The 23,567-nt window shown below is 45.2% G+C and overlaps 1 protein-coding gene and 1 long non-coding RNA gene across 2 annotated transcripts, besides 3 other annotated features; one reads left to right on the forward strand and one right to left on the reverse strand.

Annotated features, from left to right (window-relative positions):
- Nucleotides 7-521: an enhancer, noted in NCBI's record as "H3K4me1 hESC enhancer chr3:126992945-126993459 (GRCh37/hg19 assembly coordinates)". NCBI's record gives its function as "activates a minimal SCP1, AML or CMV promoter by ChIP-STARR-seq in primed H9 embryonic stem cells {active_cell/tissue: H9 hESC(primed)}" and the evidence as "EXISTENCE:reporter gene assay evidence [ECO:0000049][PMID:30033119]".
- On the forward strand, nt 2,429-4,142 carry LOC124906281 (uncharacterized). Its single transcript, XR_007096064.1, has 2 exons — nt 2,429-2,554; nt 3,627-4,142. It is a non-coding gene; the product is annotated as an uncharacterized LOC124906281 (long non-coding RNA).
- Nucleotides 2,858-3,359: an enhancer, noted in NCBI's record as "NANOG hESC enhancer chr3:126995796-126996297 (GRCh37/hg19 assembly coordinates)". NCBI's record gives its function as "activates a minimal SCP1, AML or CMV promoter by ChIP-STARR-seq in naive H9 embryonic stem cells {active_cell/tissue: H9 hESC(naive)}" and the evidence as "EXISTENCE:reporter gene assay evidence [ECO:0000049][PMID:30033119]".
- Nucleotides 4,143-9,687: 5,545 nt separating the features above from the next.
- Nucleotides 9,688-13,951, reverse strand: PRR20G (proline rich 20G). The gene is made up of 3 exons (NM_001362810.2): nt 13,784-13,951; nt 13,219-13,277; nt 9,688-10,545 (listed from the first exon to the last, which is right to left on the reverse strand). Exons 2-3 carry the CDS (start codon nt 13,268-13,270, stop codon nt 9,965-9,967), a joined length of 633 nt encoding a protein of 210 aa, NP_001349739.1. The 5' UTR covers nt 13,271-13,277; nt 13,784-13,951; the 3' UTR covers nt 9,688-9,964.
- Nucleotides 14,067-14,568: an enhancer, noted in NCBI's record as "H3K4me1 hESC enhancer chr3:127007005-127007506 (GRCh37/hg19 assembly coordinates)". NCBI's record gives its function as "activates a minimal SCP1, AML or CMV promoter by ChIP-STARR-seq in primed H9 embryonic stem cells {active_cell/tissue: H9 hESC(primed)}" and the evidence as "EXISTENCE:reporter gene assay evidence [ECO:0000049][PMID:30033119]".

Raw genomic sequence — 23,567 nt, forward strand, 5'->3', positions numbered from 1 at the left:
AACTTGGGTGGCTGCAGATTTGAGCCTCCCTGTGCTCTTGGGGGCTGGGATCAGGCAGGAGCCCTGTCCTCCTGGGCGCAGCTGCAGCCACCCAAACTGTGGCTGTAGATCTGGGCTTCCTGCTCCACAGGGCAGGCAGAAGCCTTGTGCTCCCCCACCACAACACCCCTCCCTATGTTAAACTGCATCTGCACAAACCACAGGTGCCGATTCAGGCATCCCTGAACTCTTGGAAGGCCCCCTGCCCTGGCAGGCTCAGAAATGCCTGCTCCTGCTGGCTTCTCTCTGCTGTCAGTGCCTGCTCCAATCTCAGGGCAAAGTCAGGGCCAGGCATGGGTGCCATGAAGGGCCGCAGTAGGCAAGCAGATTCCTGAGTGGAAGAGGACAGTCCCTGGTGAGGCCCAACCAGAGTGGGAAATTGTGGTGCCTTTTCCAGGCAGCACATAGCCGCCCACGGACCAATCCACATGCACTTCCTCCCCTCTGAAGCCCATGAAAGCCTTTGGTTCAGCCAGAGCTGAGCAGACAACTGGACAACCAGCTGCAGAGAGGAACTACCCTCTCTGCTGAGAGCTTCAGAGACCTGCGCAGACATCGGGACTACCAGCTGCAGAGAGAAGCTACCCTCTCCAGGGCCTCTTCTCTGCTGGGAGCAGCAGACATTGGGATGACCTGCTGCAGAGAAGAGCCTCACTCTTCAAGGCTTCCTTTCTGATGAGAGCAGCAGAGATGGGGCCAACCAGTTGCAGAGAGGAGCCACGCTCTCTAGGGTCTCCTCTATGCTGAGAGCTGAACACTCACTGAAGTGACCCGCCAGCAGAGAGGAGCCACCCACTCCACCCACTCCAGGCCTCCTCTCTGCTGAGAGCTGAATACTGGATGGGACAACCTGCCTACAGAGAGGAGCTACTCACTGTTGGTCTCCTCTGAGCTGTTCTAATACTCAGTAAGGCTCCTTTTTATCTTGCTCACCCTCCACTTGTCTGCATACCTCATTCTTCCTGGATGCAGGGCAAGAACTCAGGCAAAGGTGCCACCAGCCACAGAGGTTTCTAGCCAGAAAAGTGACACACAAAAGATCCCATAACATTTTGGGGGCTGATGTGGGATCTGTGGAAGGGTGAGTAAAAGTGGATCTGCTTTTTGTCCTTTTTTTCAGAGTCCTTAACTCCACAATAGTTAAAATGAAAGAAAAATACTGAGCATCTGTCAGCCAGTTAAAAGTGACTAGCTCGGCTGGCAAACTTATGACACAGAGGGCAGGCTTGCTGGAAAGGACACCATCACCCTCAGGTGTTGGGAATGTTGGCTTTGTTCCAAACCAATTTCCCTTCGCAGAGGTCTGGCTGTCCCGTGGTACCAGAAGGAGGTCCTAGGGCAATTGAAGGTATCTGGCTGAGGCTACACCTTGGTGTTGTCTGAAAGCCCCTGGACTAACTCCAGTCCCCAACCACCTGTTAGGGTGTCAGCAAAAGGACCTCTGGTGCCTGCCTTCCTTTCTCTTTCTCTCTCTCTCTCTCTTTCTTTCCAGCTGTCATGGTTCCTGTCTCCTCTCCTGTTAAATGTTAAGAATGTTGTTGTAAGCCACAGAAATATTGCTGGGTAGAATGAGCATTTGGCTTAGTCATCAGGAGGGTAAATGAGAACAATGTGGTGCCTGTCCATTCTTGGAAGCAAGAAGAATATAACAATTGAGAGTTTTCTTTCCCCTACTGAAGGAACCCATATGCATAGGACAAGAGGCTTTTTCCCCAGGCACCTTCCCCTCCCCTACACTTAAGTTGTAATTTTGGGAGGCATCTCAGGAGACCAGGTCCCCAGTTTCCAGGACTCCCTTTCTCTCCCTCGTTTGAGGAGGACCTGGTCCCATAGCTTCACCTGTTTATGACAGGGAAGCAATGGAGGAGTTGCCTTGCTGGTTGCTGGCTGCAATTTGGTGAGGGCCAACTGAGACTAATTTAATGGATCCATACACCTTCCTGAGGCATCTTTTTCCCAAGTTTTGGTTTGAGGCCCTAGAAAGGAAAACTAGATCTGAGGGATTCAAAGGCATAATACAGCAGAAGTCTAGGGCACAGCACAGGTGAGTATGACTAATTCCTGCTGATTAGGGCCCTTCTGCTTCATGGATGGAGGTCATGCTCACATCCATGGCACAGATAAGGTCTAGGGAACTCAAAGGTTACTGACAGCGGGAGGCTTAGGCACCACACAGTGAGTGCGAATATTCCTGCTGGCTATGCCTCCCCTGCCTTCATGTGTGAAGGTTGCGCTTGCACCCACAGTCAGCACCTGCACAGGTCACTGGAACTCAGGGATATAAGGTCAGAAGAAAGAAATGGGACACCTTTTTTTCTCTCCCTCACATACCCTGGGTATTCACTGGAAGGAGAAAGGAACAAAGGAATGCCTTTTTCCCTCATTTCAGATGGGTAACCAACCATCCTCAGCCTGCACTCCCCTTGAGTGTATTCTGAATCACTGGGACTCCGTTGACCCTCAGACTGTAGAGAAAGAGGAAAAAACCTTTTCCCTCCTCTGTCCTCTCTTCCAGGTGGGTAACCAACCATCTTCAGCCTGCATTCCTCTAGAATGTATCCTGAATCATTGGGACTACTTAGACCCTCAGACTCTGAAGAAAAAGCACCCCATACTCCTTTTGCACATATTCCTGATTTCATCAGCTCAGGGTTTGGCCAAATTTTGTTCTTCAGGGAGGAGAAGTGTGAGCTCTGGATGGAAGCATTAATTTCGGTACCATTCTGCAGCTGGATCTTTTATGTAAAAGTGAAGGCAAATGGTCTAGGATTTCATGTGTGCATGCTCTCTTTGCCTTGCAAGGTAGTCCGGACCTTTGCCAACATTGTAGGATTCATTCAGCCCTCCTAGCAGCCATCTCAGGATAGACTGCAAGGGACAATCCCAGGGAACTAGGGAATAGCAAAAGTTGCCCACCCATACAAGTCATCTAGAGAGGTTTTGAATACCCTGTTGCCTAGGCCACACCCTAAGCTGGTGAAATCCACCCCTCTGAGGTGGTTTGAAAGGGTTTGGCCATTATCCACCTCTCAGCTCCCCAGCTGATTCCCATGGATATGCAGAATTGAGAGCCACTCAACAAGATGGTGGAGGGGGAGCAGCCTGGAAGCTGTGTTGGGGACAGACTTGACTCAGAAATAAACAGAAAGCCAAACAGACTCATAGCAATGTGCCCAATACTAATAAAACTGAGAAGGTTGTTGAGGAGCTAACCCTCTCCCCAAAATAGTCAGCCCCTCCTTTCTCCACAAGTGAGTAAACAGAGACATGCATTTTGGATACCTTAGCTTTGGATAAAAAGACTCAACATTGTAAAAATATTTTTTACTTAAATTAAATGTTCAACAAACCCACTTCTATTCAAAATATTACTAATAGTTTTGGATGCCTGACAAAAATGGTTTGTGGTGGAATATTTTTAAAGCATTAACAGATGTTTATTTTCTTTGCAATTTATTTTACTCTGTTATGTTGGGGACTGCTATTTGCTACATTGTATCCATTCTCCACTTCTTCCTTAAGACAGACCCTGATATTACTTGGAACAGCAATGATTCAAAAATTTTGTTTCTCTTCCTCCCTTGCAGCCAGGCATGACCATGTAACAGTTTGGGCTGCTGAGCCAGAAGGGAAAGAGTACTACTGCTAGACTTCCAGGAAGGCTGCTCTAAGAAAGATGACTCAGAGGTTGCACTTTTTTAGTTTTGGGGGTTTTTTTCCCTCTACTTCCTGCTTCTTGGAACTAGGACATGATGTCTGGAACTCTAGCAGCCATTTTGGACCATGAGGTGATTGTGCGACTAGAAGACACATCGTAGAATGGAGCACCAAGACGAAAGCCCCCAAAGCTGCCCTATAAGACCTGGACTTCAAACCAGCAAACTTCTTCCATGTGAGAGAGAAATAAGCTTAGGTTTTGTTTCTGCCAGTGTTATCTTTGTTTTCGGTTATGAGCCACTAAATGTGATCCCACTTGTTACCCCAGTCATTCTCCCAACTTCCTAGACCCATTAATAGCATTCTACACTCACAGTCCATCAGTGGTGCAAGACTACAACACGATTTTAAATCCAAAAGTGATATAAATGATTTTGTGATTCTGTGCTGCTGAGATATGTGCTTTTTTCAACTTGCAAAATATACTATTGAAATCTATAGTTAAAAAAAAAAGAGTCTTGAAATCCTAGTTTTTGCTTACCCAAATCCAAAGCCTCAAAGCACACTCTGGGGAGAAGGTTTTGCTACAGAGAAGAAGCATAAAAGGATCTTTGACTATCTGGGCCACACTCTACCCACTCTGCAGGACAAGATGAGCTCCTGTGAGCTGGAGGGAGGGAGACAGTCGGGGAGAAAGTGGGAGTGTTTGGTGCAGGAGCGGGGCCTGGGACTTGCCCTCTGGCCAGAAGTGGATAGAAGTGGGAGGGAAATGACAAAGCAAAGAAAAGCAGGACAATGGGTCATGAGCTAGAATCCTGCCATCTTTGAGTAAAGAGTGGAGGTAAATGGGTTTTGGGGGGCACCTTGGCAAAGGGCCCTGAGGCAGACAGTGGGGTCTCTACCCACCTGAGGGCAGGGGGTCATCCAAGTTCTCCTGGGCAGACTCGAGTCATCTGGAAGAAGATCAGAGGACCCAGAGTGCCATGAATAGAAGTAGAAAGACCTCTCAGCAGTGGATCTAGAATGCTGATGTCTCCCTAGGACTAGAAGAGCCTCCTCATGCCTGCATCTTGGCAAGTCCCTCCAAGAATGTAGGTGACCCCACAAAGAAAGAGGAGTGGGGGAGCACTGAGCTAGCAGTGACCTGTGAATTGGCCAAGTTTATCATGAACTATGATCAAATCCTGAAACAACTGAGAGTGATATTGAAATGATTAGAAAATCATTTCCCACACTGCTGTCACTGCAAGGTGGACACCTGTGTGGCAGATGTGGCCCTCTGGCCCTCAGGTGGCAGGAGCAGAGCCCAGGCCAGGAGTCAGAAAACCAACCTAGGGAACGGGGCCAGAGGAAGAGGTCTGCTATGAGCTGAGGCTGGGCACACAGGCAGGCCAAAGACAGCCCAAGTCCTGCCAAAAGAGAAAGGTTGGAATGGGAAAAACACCTGTAGCACTTATGAATTTCTAACATGAGTTCCTACTAATTGATACACAAAAGATATAAAATCCAACAAAAAAATTGTGTAAAAAAGATATATTAGCAACTAACAGAAAAAGATACAAAAGTGGCCAATAAATGCATACAAAGACACTAAACCTTATTAGTAGCCAAGAAAATTCAAGTTAGAACGATAATGAGATAATATACTTTCATCTAAGAGATTGGCAAAAATTATAGAGTCCCAACATTTATTGCTGGGGAGATAGTGTGGGGAAGAGGTGCCCTTATCACTGCAGGTTGGAATTGGCATTGATGCCACCTAATTTGAATACAATTTCTTAGTATCTATAAAAATAAAATATGGCTCAACCCAGCAATCACATTACTGGTATATACCCAAAGGGATATAAATCGTTCTATTATAAAGACACATGCATGCATATGTTCATTACAGCACTATTCACAATAGCAAAGACATGGAATCAACTTAAATGCTCATAAATGATAGACTGGATGAAGGAAATGTGGTAGACACCATGGAATACTATGAAGCCATGACAAAAAAAAATGAGATCATGTCCTCTGGAGGGACACAGATGGAGCTGGAGGCCATTATCCTTGGCAAACTAACACAGGAACAGAAAACCAAATACCACATGTTCTCACTTATAAGTGGGAGCTAAATGATGAGAACGCATGGACACATAGAGGGGAACAACATACACTGGGGTCTAATTTAACTTAAAAGTTAAATTAAAAAATAAATAAAATAAAATAGGGCCGTACTGGTTGGCATAGGAATCTCACTTTGAGAATTTATTTTACAAAGTTAAAAAACACAAGGTCAGGTGCAGTGGCTCACACTACACTTCGGGAGGCCAAAGTGGGTGGATCACTTGAGCTCAAGAGTTCAAGACCAGCCTGCACAACATGACAAAACCCTGTCTCTATAAAAAATGCAGAAATTACCCAAGCATAGTGGTGCATGCCTGTGGTCCCAGCTACTGAGGAGGCTGAGGTGGAAGGATCACCTGAGCTCGAGAGGTGGAGGCTGTGGTCAGCCGTGATTGCACCACTGCATTTCAGCCTGGGCAACAGAATGAGACCCTGTCTTACACCATGTACAAATGTTTAGTGAAGCATTTTGGCAGTAGAAGCACCCTGGAAGCAGCCTATTAGCAGACCTTTGCCTGCACAACCTAAAGCCTGTGCATCTTGCAGACAGATGCCCAGCAAGGAGATAGTGGCACGAGCGTAGGATGTTTGAGAGGGTGCTTGTAGGCTTATGCATAACAGACCCCAGTGGCAACCCAAGAAGCAGCTCCCACTGCAGTGTGCTCACTGGGGTTCATGCTGTGCTTCAATACTAAGTCACCTCTGCCCACTTTGGAGGGGGCATGGGCTCAAGAGAGGCGCTGGTGGCCGGGCGCGGTGGCTCACGCCTGTAATCCCAGCACTTTGGGAGGCCGAGGCGGGCGGATCACGAGGTCAGGAGATCGAGACCATCCCGGCTAAAACGGTGAAACCCCGTCTCTACTAAAAATACAAAAAATTAGCCGGGCGTAGTGGCGGGCGCCTGTAGTCCCAGCTACTTGGGAGGCTGAGGCAGGAGAATTGCGTGAACCCGGGAGGCGGAGCTTGCAGTGAGCCGAGATCCCGCCACTGCACTCCAGCCTGGGCGACAGAGCGAGACTCCGTCTCAAAAAAAAAAAAAAAAAAAAAAGAGAGAGAGGCGCTGGTCCCCACCACATCTGCCACACCCGAGTTACCTGCCTGGACCCTGTAGTCACTTCAGCATGACCCCTGGTGGATGGCATGCCGGGGGTTTGTAAAATCAAACCACAAATGATGCTTTTAATATACACATTTGCTTATATAGACTCGTGTGATTATGGGGAAAGATACAATAAGAATGAAGACTAGAGACAGCCAACATTGTTTTTCTACCTTTTGTCTCTTTTTTCTGGTTTTGGTAAAGACATTTTATATTCATAATTTGTGAAATTTTAGTAAAAGAGCTATAGTAAAAAAAAAAGTCAAAGGGAAGGGTTTATTTAAGAGGATTGAATACACAAGACAAAAATTTTTGTTGGGAAAAATTCTCTTCATGCTACTTGGACATTTTCTCTTACAAGTGACTCAAAATCAGCTAATAAAAGCCTACTTAATAAAACATAAAATCCAATTCATAATACACCTTTTATCAAACTCTAAAAAGATGAGAACTACCTCAACTTTATCAAACATCTATGAGAAACCTACAGCAAATATCTTGCTTAATGGTGAAATGTTTAAAATATTCCCGTTAAAGCCCGGAGGAAGCTAAAGACAAAGCCATCTAATTACTGATTCCTTATTTAGCACCGTAAGTATGTCACACTCTCCTTGTTTATATTAACCCCCCATGCCTTTTGTTTGAACTATCAAATTTTCTTTGATCCCCCTTTTCCTTAATCTGTTCAAAATTTTACATTCTATTCCAACTCATGTCGTGGTTCCCAATGGAGACACACACTTCAACTTATAAACGTGTCAGAGTCTAGAATTTCGTTGTTCTCTTATATTCAGCCTGTATGTCATCTCCAGGAACTAGACAAGAACTTTAATAATGTCTAGTTCCTTCTGAAGTCCCCCATGCCCCAAATGTCTATGTCAAAGTCTTCTGGAATTTTAATTCCAGATCACCCATCTTTCTTCCAGAATCTTACTTATCTAGACTTAATAATATAGCTAACTAATTTCCTTGCTTTCCGATTCTTCTTGCATCCCACTTCTAGGTTTTTTGGGTTTTTTTCCCTGGCTGAAAAACATTATTCATACTTTCGCTGTACATAACAGCTGAATTCAAACTGCCCTGAACAGAAAAGGGGTTTAGTAGCTTGCACACTATAAGTTGTGTACTCTAAGTTCAGGGGAAGCTCAGGCTTCAGGTCCAGTCTGAGTAGGAGTCTCACTTTTTCTCCTTTTTCTGTAGGCCCTTTCTCTCTTCATGTGGCCTTGCCCTTGAGCTGACACTTCTTGCCTCCTCCACTCCCAAAACATTTGACTGATCATAGAATTCTAGATTCAGAGTTACTTCCCTCTTGAAGCTCTAAGGATGTTGCACCATTGCTTTCCAGTCATTGATGCTGCCATGCAAAATCTACTGTAAGCCTAATTCTGCTTTCCATGCAGGTCTCAGCTCTCAGGCAGCTTTTGGAATGTTCTCTCTACCATACTTCATACTCCCAAAGGGTGTTATTCTTGTAGCCCGCTCAGGATTCACATCTTTCTTTCATCGGGAGAATTCATATAGCCAAAATTTCCTCGTATTTTGCTGTCATCCAAATGTTCAGGCTTTCCATGTTAGATGACCTCTGGATCCTGTGGATGATGGATCCTGTGGGTCCTCAGGATGATGGATCCTGGGGGAGCTCCACATTAGATGACCTCTGGATCCTCAGGACAACTGATCACAGAAGAGCTCCAAGTTAGATGACCTCTGATCCTCAGGACGATGGATTGTGAGGGAGCTCCACGTCACATGACATGTGTCTCCTCAGGATGACAAATCCCAGCAGAGTTCCACATTAGATGACCTCTGGATACTCAGGATGATGGATCCCGAGGGAGCTCCATGTTAGATGACCTCTGATCCTCAGGACGACAGATTGTGAGGGAGCTCCACGTTACATGATGTGTGGATCCACAGATAACGGATCTCAGGGGAGCTCCATGATAGATGACCTCTAGATACTCAGGACGACGGTTCCCAGGGAAGTTCCACATTAGATGACTTCTCATCTTCAGGATGATGGATCCTGGGGGGAACTCCATGTTAGGTGACCTGTGGATCCTCAGGATGACAGATCCTGGGAGAGCTCCACGTTAGATGCCTGTGGATCCTCAGGACAATGGATCCGGAAGGAGCTCCATGTTAAATGACCTGAGTATCCTCTGTATGATGGATCCCAGGGGAGCTTCATGTTAGATGAATCCTAAGATGAGATGCGGATCTTCAGGATGATGGATTGCAGGAGAGCTCCATTTCTGATGACCTGTGGATCCTCAGGATGATGGATCCTGGGAGAGCTCTATGTTAGATGGCCTGAGAATCCTCAGGATGATGGATCCTGGGAGAGCTCCATGTTAGATGACCTGTGGATCCTTAGGACAATGGATCCTGTAAGAGAGCCACATTACATGGCCTGTGGATCCTCAGGACAATGGATCCCAGAAGAACTCCACATTACATGACCTGTGGATCCTCAGGACAATGGATCCTGGGAGAATTCCATGTTACGTGACATCTGATCCCCAGGATGATGGATCCCTGGGGAGCTCCACGTTAGATCATCTGTGGATCCTCAGGACAATGGATCCCATGAGAGCTCCATGGATGACTGCTCTGTCACACTGTCCATCTCTCTCTTGCCCAAATATCTAGTTTTTATTCCTCAGTCCTATCTATTCTGTGATTCAAACCATCAACATTAACTTTGGATTCCAACAACCTTGTTTTTCATCCCAAGTATCTTTAATTGGCTTTTAATATAAGCACATTAAAAGGACTCAGAGAGCTGCTGGTTTATTTGAATAAGCATTGAGGAACTCCATGCATGTGTATTTTTGACAGAACATACAAAGCGGAGGCAAGAGGGGAATTGGAAGCAGATGGACTACTGTCAGGATCCTGGGAGGAGGACTTGGAGGCTCATGACAACACAAAGTAAGGGCTCTGACTGGGATGGGCAGGGAGGAGTGGAGCAGAAATGGGGCTAGAGTTTGGGGATAGGGGGAAAGACCAGGTGGAAGAAAAGAAGGCTGGCAGCAATACGGATGACAGAGGTTAGTGTGCAGAGTGGGCAGGGAACACTGGGACACTCTGCACGATGGTGCTATTAGAGGTCTGCACGATGCACAAAGTAGATGAGCCACCCGGAGGCCTGAAACTGAGGGAGGGAGAGGGGGCCAACATGGTCTGCCTGGCCACAGCCACAGGCCCAGGAGCAGGAGGTGGCTCCTGAAGCCCCACCTCAGGCTGGGCTGCATGGGGGCCGGGGCCTTCCTGCACAATTCCAGGCATAAGAGCTGCTTCAGTAAAAGAGAAGGCTGGGGTCTGCCTGGCTTCCAGTTGCCCCTGGTAGCCTAGCTCTCCATGGTCATTCAGATGGACTAGGTACATGCCTGGCCCCACTCTCTCGCCCAGGGCCCTGAGAAGCCCAGCCCCACTGCCGCGGCCTCGACCTGCCCGCCAGCTTCCTCCCCCACGCTGGCCTCTTCCTGCAGGAGGAGCTGGCTGTGCGCGAGCTGGGGGCTCCCGTCTCATGGGTTTCACATAAGCAGTGGGTTTTGCCGGTTGGACTGGGTCTACAGGGTCTTCACGGTCCACACCAGAGCAGCCTGGCTCTGTAGGAGGCCCACCTGAAGCTAAAAGAGAAGCAGAGTGTAAGGAGATGGAGTAGGGGCTGCCCAGGAAGCCTTCAGGAAGGGAGACCAGGAGAGGGGTTCAGGGAGGGCCCAGGGGAACCCGGGCAAACAGAGTGAGGGTCGGGAGATGCCTGCAGGGTGAGCCCTCAGGAGCACTCTGTCCAAGGGCCTAGCCTGGGCTCAGCACTTTCCATGAGCCTCTCAAGTCCTTGCAATGACCTTGTCAGTCAGATATTATGATTGCCATTTTACTAATAAGTAAATGAGTCTACAGTTCCCTACAGTGGCTGAGTTTGAATAAAAATGACACACTGCCTGCCTTCACTGTGTTTAAACCTCAGTAGGAGAGACAAACAGAACACCTAAAAATGAATGATGCTAATGAGTGACCAGCTGGGAGGTGAAAGGTATCATAAGGGAGGTGGCTCCATATCCAGAATGCTGGCGTTGTATTCCCAGGCAGCTTCACTTATCTGGGCATCAGTGGCCCTTTTCATAAATTAGTATAATAACATGCCAACCCCTGGGTCCTTACAAGAACTGAGTTACTACAAGAAAAATGTTTACATTACTATCAGGTGCAAGTAAGCATCTTAACATGTATTGGGAAGGAGATGATCAGAAAGTCTTATTGGAGAAGTTAACCTAAGCCAGGGATATCAAGGATGGGTGGGATTTAGCAAGGCAAAGGCGGGAGAGGATTAGTAGGGATAGCAGGGAGGGAGAGGATTCCAGGTGACAGGGGGGCCGGGGGTAGTTGCATGGCTTCCAGGAGGAAAAAAGCCTGGGGTAGCTATAAGCTAGTTTGGCAGGGAGGGGAGGCGTTCACACAGATACATGATTGAGCAATGGAACAGAACAGGAAGTCCGAAACTAGACAAACGTCTACAGAAATTTTATCAATGACAGAGTAGGCATTGAAGATCATCTGAAGATCCTTCCCTGGGAAACCTGTGTAGCCTAAGAAAAAGTCCCAAGAAACTGACATCTAAGGTTGCCCAATTTCATAGCCCAACCATATCTATTCTGTGGAACCCAATCAACAAGCCCCATCCACGAGCTTGGAGCTCCCAACAGCTTCTTCTGGGTCCCATTTTTAAACTATAAGCAGCAATCAGATATCACCAAACATCAGAGGAAAGGCTCTAACATAAGAGACAGAACAATAACACAAGAAAAGCCAACTTGGAGGAAACAGTTTATGCCACAGATGAGACTTTCCAAAAACATCTATAATTAATATCCCCAGAGAGATAGAAGGAATTATGCCCATGAATCAATTATAGGGTACTTTTGAAAAGGAATATTCAGAAAAACTACAGCTTTTTGAAATTAAAATTATGAGAGCAGAAATGAAAATCTCCATGGAAATTTTGGAGGATAAAGTTGAGAAGATCTCCCAGGAAAGAGAGCAAAAACCCACAATGATGGAAAGGAAGGAAGATAAAATATAAGAAAATTAGAAGTGTATTGTTACTGAGACACATCCCCATAAAATTCCAGAGTGCTGGTGACAACGAAAGATCTTAAAATCTTCCAGAGAGGGAGAAAGAGAAAGGGAAGAAAGGCCATATGGAAAGGGTCAGGATTCAACATGTCTCAAAAATCAGACACCTCAAAAGCAGCAATTAAATCTAGAAGATTATAGAAAATGCCTTCAAAATTTCGAGGGAAATGGATTTCCCACCCAAAATTTGATATCCAACCAAAGTATCCCTTAGGAATCAGAATGAAGATGTTTGCAGACAAGCAAGATCTTAAATAATTTCCCTTCAAGGCATGCTTTCTTGTAATGTGCCTATCAAACTAGACAAGATTAAAAGATTTAGGACAGTGTATGAAGGGAAATGTTTTCAAGAATAATTTGGCAATGGCCATCAAATTCCAATACCTCCAGAAAAGAACAAGGTGAGAGTCCTGGCTTATCATACGTAGATCGAGACATAGTGTAAGGACTCACTCTTCCAAAGAGAAAAAGTAAAATAAGAAAGAAAAAGACACCAGATAAAGGAAATGGGTTAAAATTCAAAAGAGGAAAAGGAATTTCCCAGATGATGTGGAAGGGAGATCCTGGAGTGGCAGCTGGGAGGTGACTCAGAGCAGCCAGTCCCGGTTGGAGCAGGCTATGAGAAAGTGAAACTGAGAGAACGCTTGATTGAGTTTGAATTTAAGTAATTGGGGAAGAATTGAGGGATAGACTCGTGATAAGTAAACACATAATAACCCAGGAGAAGTGTCAAGTCCTGGAAAACTCAAGTTATGCAAGAGGTGCAAAGTAATCCTAGTGTCCTACTGGCTCCTGGGCGGTGGGGGAGGGGCAGAGGGTGTGGGCCCTGGGATGGGTGTGGCTGGGTGAGTGGTGGTGGTGGTGGGAATCTGTGAACTACAGCTAAATACTCCACTACTCTAGCGGGAAGACCATAAATAAAGTCTAAACGGAAAAAGAAATAGCAGTAGGGTACGCATGTTATTTAAAGAATGAGAGGAAATGCTAGAAGAAATGGCTACCCAGATGGAGGTGGTGGTCCCAAAGGTGTGGGAGATTGAGAAGGAGCATGGGCTGCTGCATTTCATAACATGTCACATTTGCATATCTAAGTTCTATAAGTCAATACCAAAGGTAAAGTAAAAATCTGGAAAAAATTAAAAAGAGTGGTAGGCGTTTGATGGTACCTTGATTTGGGGCCAGGAAGCGAGGTCGTTTCGAGTGCCTTGGTTCCTCCATGAGGAATCTGCGGGAGTGGGTGGGGAGGAAAACGCGTCTGTCAGGGTATTAAACCACAGCCTAATTTCCCAAGCGTCACGCAGCGATGCGGACCCCACCTCACCCCCTCCTACAGGGCCACTGCCGCTCGCGGGTCTCAGAGCATTTGCACTGAGCCCGCGGGGCGCAGCCAGGGGGATCCTGTGAAGGTGGGAGTTGGGGTGGGGGGAGACTTCCGCATTTTAAAGGATTTCCAAGTGGAGCCAGTAGCAAGCGGGGATTGGCCTAGAGGCAGCTTGATTAACTTATCCCAGTTTCTTCAGGCAAAGCTGGTACCGGGGAGACTTAGGCCTCCTGGAGGAATGATCCCTCCTTAGCGGAAGAGAGAAAAAAGATGGAGGATGGGGAACAGAGTTGCGAAGAAGACAGCGGTGACAAGGCATGTGGCCTCGGCCTTCTAGAGCACTGAGGATTCTGTCCCCACCTGTACCCACGCAAACTCTACCCACCCCTCAGGGACACCCAGACACACACCTGATCTCCCTGCAGCTGGCTCTCTTCTATGGGGAGAGGCCTGAGGAGCTGGAGGTGTCCACGGGATCACGGCTATGGCTCCGACGTCGCCCTCAAATGCGCCCCCTACCAGGCAGGTAGGAGGGAGCACCCAGCAGTCCTAGTTCGGAGCCCGGCAGAAAGCTGACTGCTCGCGGTTACGAGAGCTCCCTCTTATAAGGCGGTGAGGCCGTCACGTGATGGGAGTGGTAAGGGGCGGGGCCAGCTGGGGCAGGCCTGACTGGGCTTGGAAGGCCATTGGGCCAGTCCTTTGCTTGTCAAATAAAGCCCACCGAGAAGCCCCTGTGCATAAATGTCAATGGTTGATTGATCAATCTAATCGTTGAGGAAAAAAAATTCATAATTACAATTAAGTGCCAGCAAAAGGGAGGTGTGGTGCCGTGAGAGTAGCGAATAGGAAGATTTGATTTAATTAGATCTGAGCATGGTGAAGGAAAGCATGGGGGGGGATATTTGCGCTGAAGTCTGGAATTTGGAATTTGAAATTAGTCGACGTGAACCTGGCTGGGAAGGGCAGGGAGGGAGGCAGGGGAGTGAAGAAGGGGCGCTGAGGCCCGGACTGGAAGGGAGCCCAGCCCATGCCGGGAATGGAGGGGGAGACCAGGCCCAGGCCCCGGGTGTGTGAGGTGGGGGCGGGGGCCGCAGGAGCTGGTCTTCTTCCGGGAAACCACCAAATGGTGTCCTGAGCGGGTGAACATTTCAAAAACGGTCAGCCTGGCTGTGAAGGAGAGAATTCAGGGTGCCCAGGTTAACTCCGAGACGCAAAGAGGCTACGCAGCCCTAGGGGCTGGGCACAGGATCGTGTTAGGCTAGGACTGTGGGCGGCAAAGGTGGAGAACGTTCCCCGGGAGGGAGAGAAATCTGCAAGTGAAAGTGAGCCGAGTGTGAACAGCCCTTGGAGGGAAGGAGCCTGCAGCCTTGGCCTCCCGTTCCTTCAGACGAAGGTGGACCAGGAACCTGCGCTGAGTGTAAGATGGGGAGCTTGGCTTCTGCACGTTGGGTTGAAGAAGCTTTTGAGGCACCAAGTGAGGATGTCAACTGGCCTTTTGTAAAAAGGGTCTGGAGCTCAGAGAGATGGCGATGGGGCTGGAGATACGTGTAAGACACACACCTCGTGCGTTTACTGCTGTGGGTACATACACAGGCACACAGGAGGAGGAAGAGAGTAGGAAACACTCCAGGACAGAAGAGGGCGCCTGCAGAGGGTTGGTTAGTTGGTTTGCTTGTTTGTTTCTTAAAGAGCTGGAGTCTCCCTCTGTCGCCCAGGCTGGAGTGCCGTGGTGCAATCTTGGCTCACTGCAACCTCCGCCTTCCGGGTTGAAGCGATTCTCCTGTCTCAGCCTCCCGAGTAGCTGGGACCACAGGTTCGCACCACCGCACCCGGCTAATTTTTGTACTTTTTGTAGAGATGGGGTTTGCCATGTGCCCAGGCTGGTCTTGAACTCCTAAGCTCAAGCAATACTTTCACCTCAGCCTCCCGAGTAGCTGGGACCACAGGCTAACGCCACCACTCCTGCTAATTGGGTGATGGTGTTGTCGTCGAGACAAAGTTTCGCTGTGATGTCCGGGGTTAATCTCAAACTCCTAGCCTCAAGCAATCCTCCCGCCTGGGCCTCCTAAGTGACTGGGATTACAGGCATAAGCCTCCACACCCTGCTCCCATAATGCTGTTTTAAAAATCCAGGCCAGGCACGGTGTCTCATGCCTGTAATCCCAGAACTTTGGGAGATGGAGGTTAGAGGATTACTTGAGTTCAGGAGTTTGACACCAGCCTGGGCAACGTAGCAAGGCCCCATCTCTACCAAAAAAAAAAAAAAAAATTTTACCCGTGTGTGGTGGCACTTGCCTGTGGTCCATCCACTAGGAAAGCTGAGGTGGGAGGATTGCTTGAGCCAGGGAGGGTAAGGCTGCAGTGAGCCAAGATTGCACCACTGCATTCCAGCCTGGGATGCAGAGTCAGACCCTGTCTCAAAAATATATATATATATATATATATATAGCATACAGTACACCCCCTTTTCTGCCGGGTTTCTCTTGCTTGACATAATGTTGTTGAAGTCCATCTATGTTGTAGAATGCATAAGTCATTCATTCCTTTTCATTGCTGAGTGGTGTCTCATTGCATTAATAGACCGCAGTTTATTTATCCAGTCATTACTAGCTGATGGACATTGATTGGGTTGTTTCCAGTTTGGGACTATAATGAAGAAAACTGCTAAGAACACTCATGTACAAGACTTTGGATAGACATATGCTTTCATTTTACTTGGGCAAATATCTACAAGTGAAATTTCTGGGTCAAATAATCAAGTTTTTTTTTAGATTTATAAAAAATTATCAAATTGCTTTCCTATTAGTTGTGGGATTTTACATACCTTCCCAAAGTGTGTGAGGGTTTTAGGCATTCCCACATCCCTGCCAACACTTGATATTGCTGATCCTTTTCCTTTAAGCCACTCTAGTGTCTGTGGAGTGGTGTCTCATAGTGGTTTCAACTTGCATTCCCTTGTTGACTAATGTTATGCTTAATGGATTCTTAAAAATAAGTGGTTTTATTTTAGAATAGTTTTAGACTCACAGAAAAGTTGAAAAAAACACAGAGAGTTCTCTTACAACCCACACAAAATTTATCGTTCCTGGCATCTTACATTAGCATGGTATATTTGTCATAATTAATTATTATGGAAATAGCAATTATTGATACATTAACCAATACTGATACATCGTTATTAACTAAAGTCTATGTTTGGTCTATCCTCGGTCTTGACATACCTTTTCTGTCTCAGGACCCCATCCAGGGTACCACATTACAATTAGTAATGGCTCCTCTTAGGTGCAAGGGTTTCTCAGGCTTGCCTTGTTTTTGATGACCTTGACACTTTGATTACTGGTCAGGTATACTGTAAGACGTCCTCTCCTGAAATTCATCTGATGTGTTCCTCACGATCCTACTGGAATAGTGTGTTTTTGTAAGGAAGATTGCCGAGGGAAAGAACTATTCCCATCCCATCCTGTCTAGGGTGCACACTATCAGCATGGCTTATCACTGCTGGTATTCGTCCTGGTCACCTGGCTGGGACAGTGTTGGTTAGGTTTCTCCACCATAAAGTAATTTTCCCCTCTCTTTCTCTGCTGCATTTTTTGGGAGTCACTATCTGTAGCCTACACTTTAAAAAAGGGAAAGTACGCTTATCTCCTTGCAGGAGAATGGCTACCTAAATTATTTGGAGTTCTCCTGTGTGGGGGATTTGTCTATTCTTCCCCATGTATTTATTTATATAATCATTTATTTATATCAGTATGGACTCATGGATATCTGTTGTATACTTTGGATTATAATCCAATTCTTCATGGGATTAATTATTTAATAATTTAGCTAATTATTTTATTAAATATTTTCATTACATATTTAATTATTAATTATTTAGTTAATTATTTTGTTACTCAAAGTTTCCAGCTTTGGCCATTGGGAGCTCCTTCAGTTGGCTGCTGGGTCCTTTTGTCACACCCTGATACGGTTTTGCTGTGTCCCCACCTAAATCTCATATTGAATTGTAGCTCCCATAATTCCCATGTGTTGTGGGAGGGACCCAGTGGGAGATAATTGAATCATGGGGGCTCTTTCTCCCATACTGTTCTCATGGTAGTGAATAAGTCTCATGAGAGCTGATGATTTTATAAGGGGTTTCCCCTTTCACTTGATTTTTTTTTCATTCTCTCTTGTCTGCCTCCATGTAAGACATGCCTTTTGCCTTCTGCCATGATTGTGAGGCCTCCCCAGTCACAAGGAACTGAGAGTCCAGTAAACCTCTTTTTCTTTATAAATTACTAAGTCTCAGGTATGTCTTTATCAACAGTGTGAGAACTGACTAATACATGCCCCATCACTGTGACTTTTGGTTTGGTTTGGGGCCCCTCCTTGCTCCCTGGCACCACAGGATGTTCTGTGCTCATTTGCATATTCTTATCCTTATTGGGCTTTCATGTTCTCACTGACCACAGCCATAGATACTTTTGTGAAGTTTCTGTTCAAAACTTTTACCCTTTTTATTGGGTTGACTTTCTATTCTTGAGTTGTAAGAGTTCTTTGTGTGTTATGGATACAGGTCTTTGATGAATATATGTATTGAGTGTGAATGTATTCTCCCAGTCTGTGTCTTGCCTTTTCATTTTCTTAACAGTGTCTTGAAATAACAGATTTTAATTTTAATGAGGCCCAGTATCTCAAGTTGGGATTCCCAGGAAGCCAACTCTGAGATGGAAATTAGAATGCAGAAGGTGTATGAGGTGTGCCTTCTAGGGATGTAGAAGGGAAAGAGGCAGGCCCACTCAGCCTCAATGCTGTGCCTCAGTAGACCCTGTGGGATGTTCTGGTGGTAAGGTGACCTGCTAAAGCTGTTCTGAGTTGGGGCAACAGGGCCAGGCCTTGATGTCCCCATTGAATGTCGCTGGATGCAAGATGCCTGAAGGATGAGTGTGCCCATGGGTAAGGGTCAGGGGAGTCCCTTCAGCCAAGGCAGTTCCTTAGGGTCCATCTGCAAGGGCTGAGGGCTGTCTGCTGGTGGCAATTCTCACAGCTGAGGTCACAAATACTTAATTTCTGAAGAAAGGTCTAGCAGCAAATCACAGTGCCCATTGCAAAAAATGCATCAATGTTTTCTTGTACAATTCATGTTTTTTGCGTCCCATCTAAGGAATCTTTGCCTACTCCAAAGTCATATACAGTTTTCCTATATTTTCTTCTAGAAGTTTTATAGTTTTAGCTTTCACCTTTAGGTTAACAACCATTTTTGTTAATTTTTGTGTAGAGTGTGAAGTAAGGGTTGAGATTTATATTTTTAATTATGGGCGTCCAGTTTGTTCCAACACCATTGGTTAAAATCAATGCTGTTTTTTTTTTCTTTATTGGAATTGGATGAAATGTTTTAAATTTTATATGGAGAATTAAATTTCAGAGGAAAAAAGTTGTGAAAAAGAACAATAGTGAGTTGAGCCTTTCCCAGCTATTAAAATAGTATGGTATTGGCAAAGGAACAGGTGAATTAGTTGATGAGAATAGGTCAGAAACATATAACAGCTAACAATAATAGCTAACATCTATTGGACGCTGCCATGTGCCAGGCATTGTCCCCAGTCCTTTTCACATATTCATGCATTCAATCCTCCCAGCAACTTTAGTGTGTAGGTAATACTGTTATTCTCATTTTACAAAGGAAGAAACAGGGGTACTGGGTGCTTGAGTGGCTTATCCACAGTCACCCAGCTACTGTGGGGCAGAATCAGGATTTTAACCTGACTGTTATTCAAGAGCTCCAAGTCTTTTTTTTTTTTAATTTTTAGTATTTATTGATCATTCTTCGGTGTTTCTCGGAGAGGGGGATTTGGCAGGGTCATAGGACAATAGTGGAGAGAAGGTCAGCAGATAAACAAGTGAACAAAGGTCTCTGGTTTTCCTAGGCAGAGGACTCTGCGGCCTTCCACAGTGTTTGTGTCCCTGGGTACTTGAGATTAGGGAGTGGTGATGACTCTTAACGAGCATGCTGCCTTCAAGCATCTGTTTAACAAAGCACATCTTGCACCGCCCTTAATCCATTTAACCCTGAGTGGACACAGCACATGTTTCAGAGAGCACGGGGTTGGGGGTAAGGTTATAGATTAACAGCATCCCAAGGCAGAAGAATTTTTCTTAGTACAGAACGAAATGGAGTCTCCTATGTCTACTTCTTTCTACACAGACACAGTAACAATCTGATCTCTCTTTCTTTTCCCCACATTTCCCCCTTTTCTATTCGACAAAACCGCCATCGTCATCATGGCCCGTTCTCAATGAGCTGTTGAGTACAGCTCCCAGACTGGGTGGCGGCCGGGCAGAGGGGCTCCTCACTTCTCAGACGTGGCTGCCAGGCAGAGGCGCCCCCCACCTCCCGGACGGGGCGGCTGCCGGTTGGGGGCGCCCCCCACCTCCCAGACAGGGCGGCTGCCGGGTGGGGACGCCCCCCAAGTCTTAACCTATGCATTATATTGCTTCTGTCCATAAGGGAACTCAGTATCAGACCAAGACCATATTTTGATTCAGTGATAAAACATGTATACTAGTTTCCCATTGCTGCTGTAACAAATTGCTGCCAACTTAGTGACTTAACACAAATTTATTATTTTACAGCACTGGAGGTCAGAAGTCCAAAATATGTCTTACAAGGCTAAAATCAAGGTATCAGTGAGGCTGAGTTTCCTCTGGAGGATCCAGGGGAGAATCCGTTTTCTTGCCTTTTCCAGCTACTAGAAGCTGCCTTCATTCATTGGCTCACAGCCCCTCCCTCCTTCTTTGAAGACCCCAATGTAACAAAAATACCCTCGAGGTCCCCAGTGCTGAACAACTGGGAGATAAGGAGGATGGAAATGAAGAGGCATTGGGGGTAAGTGTGTTTCACGGATTGTAATAAAATTGTTTTCTCCTCCTGTTTTTGAAAAATAATTTCTTAAAAAGTTTTTTCTTCTATTAATTTTTGTGAACCATTTCAAGAAAAGCTGCCTGTTATGAAAAAATTCAAACATTTCTACAGAAAAGTAGACAGGAGAGCGTGATACCTCCCTCATGTACCCATTATTCAGCCTCAACAGGTACCAAAACTTGGCCCATCTTACTTCATCTGTGCTCTACCCACTCCCTCAACATTGGATTATTTTGAAGCAAATCCCAGGCACAATGCCACTGAGACCATAAATATTTCAGTAAGTATTTAAAAGGTAAGGACTCTTCTTAAAAATCATAATCACAATAAGAATGTTTAAGTAAAATAAAAGAAATAAAGAGGATCCCATTAAGAGAATGGGATTGAATATATGAGGCTGAGAAAGATGAAATGATTAGGTTCTGAGAAGAGAAGGCAGGGATAATGAGAGAAGGCAGGGATAATGAGAGAAGGCAGGGATAATGAGAGAAGCAGGGTTGGAGGGATTGGTTTTAGACAAAAGGAGGGGACACTATGGTAACAGTGAGGAAGGAGAAGATGTATGTAGTGCGTTTGTGTATGTTGTGCCTCTATGACAGAATATCTGAGACTGAGCAATGTGTAAAGAATAAAGATTTATTTCTTACAAAGTAGCAGGCAAAAGCTGGGTAACTGGCACTTGCTGTCACAACAGAACCCTTCTCCTCCCATCCCAGTTGCTTTCCTCAGTCCGAGTTTACTTCTCCTTCATGTAAGGTTGATGTGGGTTTGGCAGCCTCTGCCACCTGGAACATAACACCCCCATTTCACTCTCACTCCTGTTTCATTGGCCAGCTCCAGGCACCTGGCCTCAACCTAAGTTCAGGTGAGGCTGGGAATGTGGAGGAGCACCTGGATACCAGGTGGGGGCCAACTTTCTATCCTACAGGAGGTTTGTACTGGAAGACTGTTCTGGAACATTTAGCCACTTTAATAAAACACACAAAAAAGGTATTTTTTTTTAAAGCAAATGTATCATAATCATTTAGGGAGGTAACATGGAGTAGGCATTAACTGTGCAGACTCAGAGTGGCTGTACCCAGGCTGCAAACCCCGTGTCCCACTCACGGTACATGACCTTGGGCAAGTCACCTAACAGCTCCAAGCCTTCATTCCTCCACCTGCAGAGTGGAGACTCGTAATAGCACAGAGATTTATCTGAGGATAATTTGAAAAATAGGTGAAATAATGAAACAATGATGGATAATATTGTTTGTAGGAAAACAATAAATTTTAATTATTATTTTTATAAACTTATTCAAGTGATATTGTCTATCTGAAAAATCCAAGAATAAGATAATTAAGAAAAGTCTTGATTACAAATTTAAATGGAAAAAGCTAAGTTATTTCCTATATACAATCAAAAACCAACACCATGGCAGAACGTAGACTACAAACACACACACATACATAGAAATGCTGGAAAATGTATAAATATAGAACTGACCTTGAAAGACAAAAATAACTGATATAATGGTGACCTTATAAACATTGGCTCAGAATGGAGACTTGTCCTTGTACCCCCACATTTGAGAGCCAGAAGTGAGACTTCAGTTACAAACTGGGATCCTGGAAGAACTGCCCGTTGGTGAAAAAGGGAACTAAAATGAATCTTCCCAGCAGCCCAGAGAAGCAACAAAGAGGCTGAGGTCTACTTAAGCTCTGGGTAAAAGAATCCTAGGTTCCTAAGCAGGGTGTGGAATCCCAATTTATACTAACCATATGTTGCCAAAATCTCAAAGACAAGATATCAATTTTTAAAAATCTTATCCAGCATCTGTTAAATTTATGAGGATAAGTAGCTGAGGAAAACAAAAATTTTCTCTCTAGCAATACTTCCACAGCACAGAACATGAGAATTCCCAAAGGAAAAAGTCCTCAGTAAAGATGAGCTCATAAGTAAAAACTACAAATCCCAGACCCAATATTGCTTTATCTATACCCCACCCACTCCCTCAACACCCGATCCTTGGAAGCAAACCCTAGGCATCATGCCATTTCAATAATAAATATTTCAATACACATCTCCAGAAGATAAGGACTCCCATATGAACGATAACGAAGTGAGTCTCTGAGTGGAAGAGTAGGCTAAAAAAAGGAAGAGAAGGATTAGCATATCAAGAAATTTAAATAACAAGTATAAAGCCAATATGCTTAAAATTATTAACAAGATAAAATAAGGAATAAAATGCATAAGCATGAACAGGAAAATATGAAAACAAACAAAACATGTAGATTTTGAAATGAAGCAAATACAACTTCTTGAAGTAAATATAAACATAAAAATTTAAATTTTAAGTGGCCTAGCACTTTGGAAGGCCAAGGTGGGAGAATCATTTGAGTCCAGAAGTGTGAGACTAGCTTGGGAAACATAGTGAGATCCCATCTCTATTTTAAAAATTTAAAAGAATAAAAAAAATTAGTTGGACATGGTGGCACATGCCTGTAGTCTCAGCAACATGAGAGGCTTGAGCCCAGAAGTTCGAGGCTGCAGTGAGCTATGATTGCGCCATTGCACTCCAGCCTGGGTAACAACAAGACCCTGCCTTAAAAATATTTAAATTAAATTAAATTAATATGACATAGCTTAAAGGTAAAGAATTCAAACGTAGTGCAAATGGATAGACACAGAGATGGAATATATGAAAGAGAGGTTAGGAGACAAACATGAGGGAGGTTCTAAAGGCATCCAACATACACTTAAGAGGAGGGAGAAGAGGCACATCCACAGAGGGCGCAGCTGAACATGCTCTGGAATCGAGCTAAGACTTGAATGCTAAGATGGAAGAATTAAAAAACTGCAAGCAGGCCAAGAATAAATAACTTGACACCCAAACATTATACGAGTACAACTGCCAAAAACAAAAGGCAAAGAGAGAAAGCATAAAAGCAACTGGACAAAAAAGAGACATTATATAAAACACCTAACAGCCTGGCAGAGCCCTCTCGCTGGCAGCCCTGGAGGAAAGAAGGCAGTGGAACAATGCCCTCAGAGTGGAAGAGCCCATCAAGGCAGAATTCCATACCCAGCCAAACCGTCAGTACAGAAGATAAAAAAAAAAAATAGATTTCCTAAAAACCTGTGCAGAAAATGTATAGCTCCATCCAGATTTCTGCTAAACGAACTTCTAAAGGAAGCTGTTGTGTAGGGAAAAAAAAGAGTACCAAAGAAAGGCATGAGACACAAAAAGCAATGGTGAATAAACAACCAATAAACATATGCAAAATTCCAAGACAGCCTTCAGGACAAAAAT

Source organism: Homo sapiens, chromosome 3 (genome assembly GCF_000001405.40).
Source record: "Homo sapiens chromosome 3, GRCh38.p14 Primary Assembly".
NCBI classification, from domain to species: Eukaryota; Metazoa; Chordata; class Mammalia; order Primates; family Hominidae; genus Homo; species Homo sapiens.

What these genes read in the sequence shown, in the direction of transcription:
- PRR20G (NM_001362810.2), bottom strand. Translation starts at nt 13,270, where the DNA reads ATGGAGGAACCAAGGCACTCGAAACGACCTCGCTTCCTGGCCCCAAAT. An exon ending in CTTCCTGGCCCCAAATCAAG is followed by an intron (nt 10,546 to 13,218) that starts GTACCATCAAAC and finishes CTTCTCTTTTAG; the next exon opens with CTTCAGGTGGGCCTCCTACA.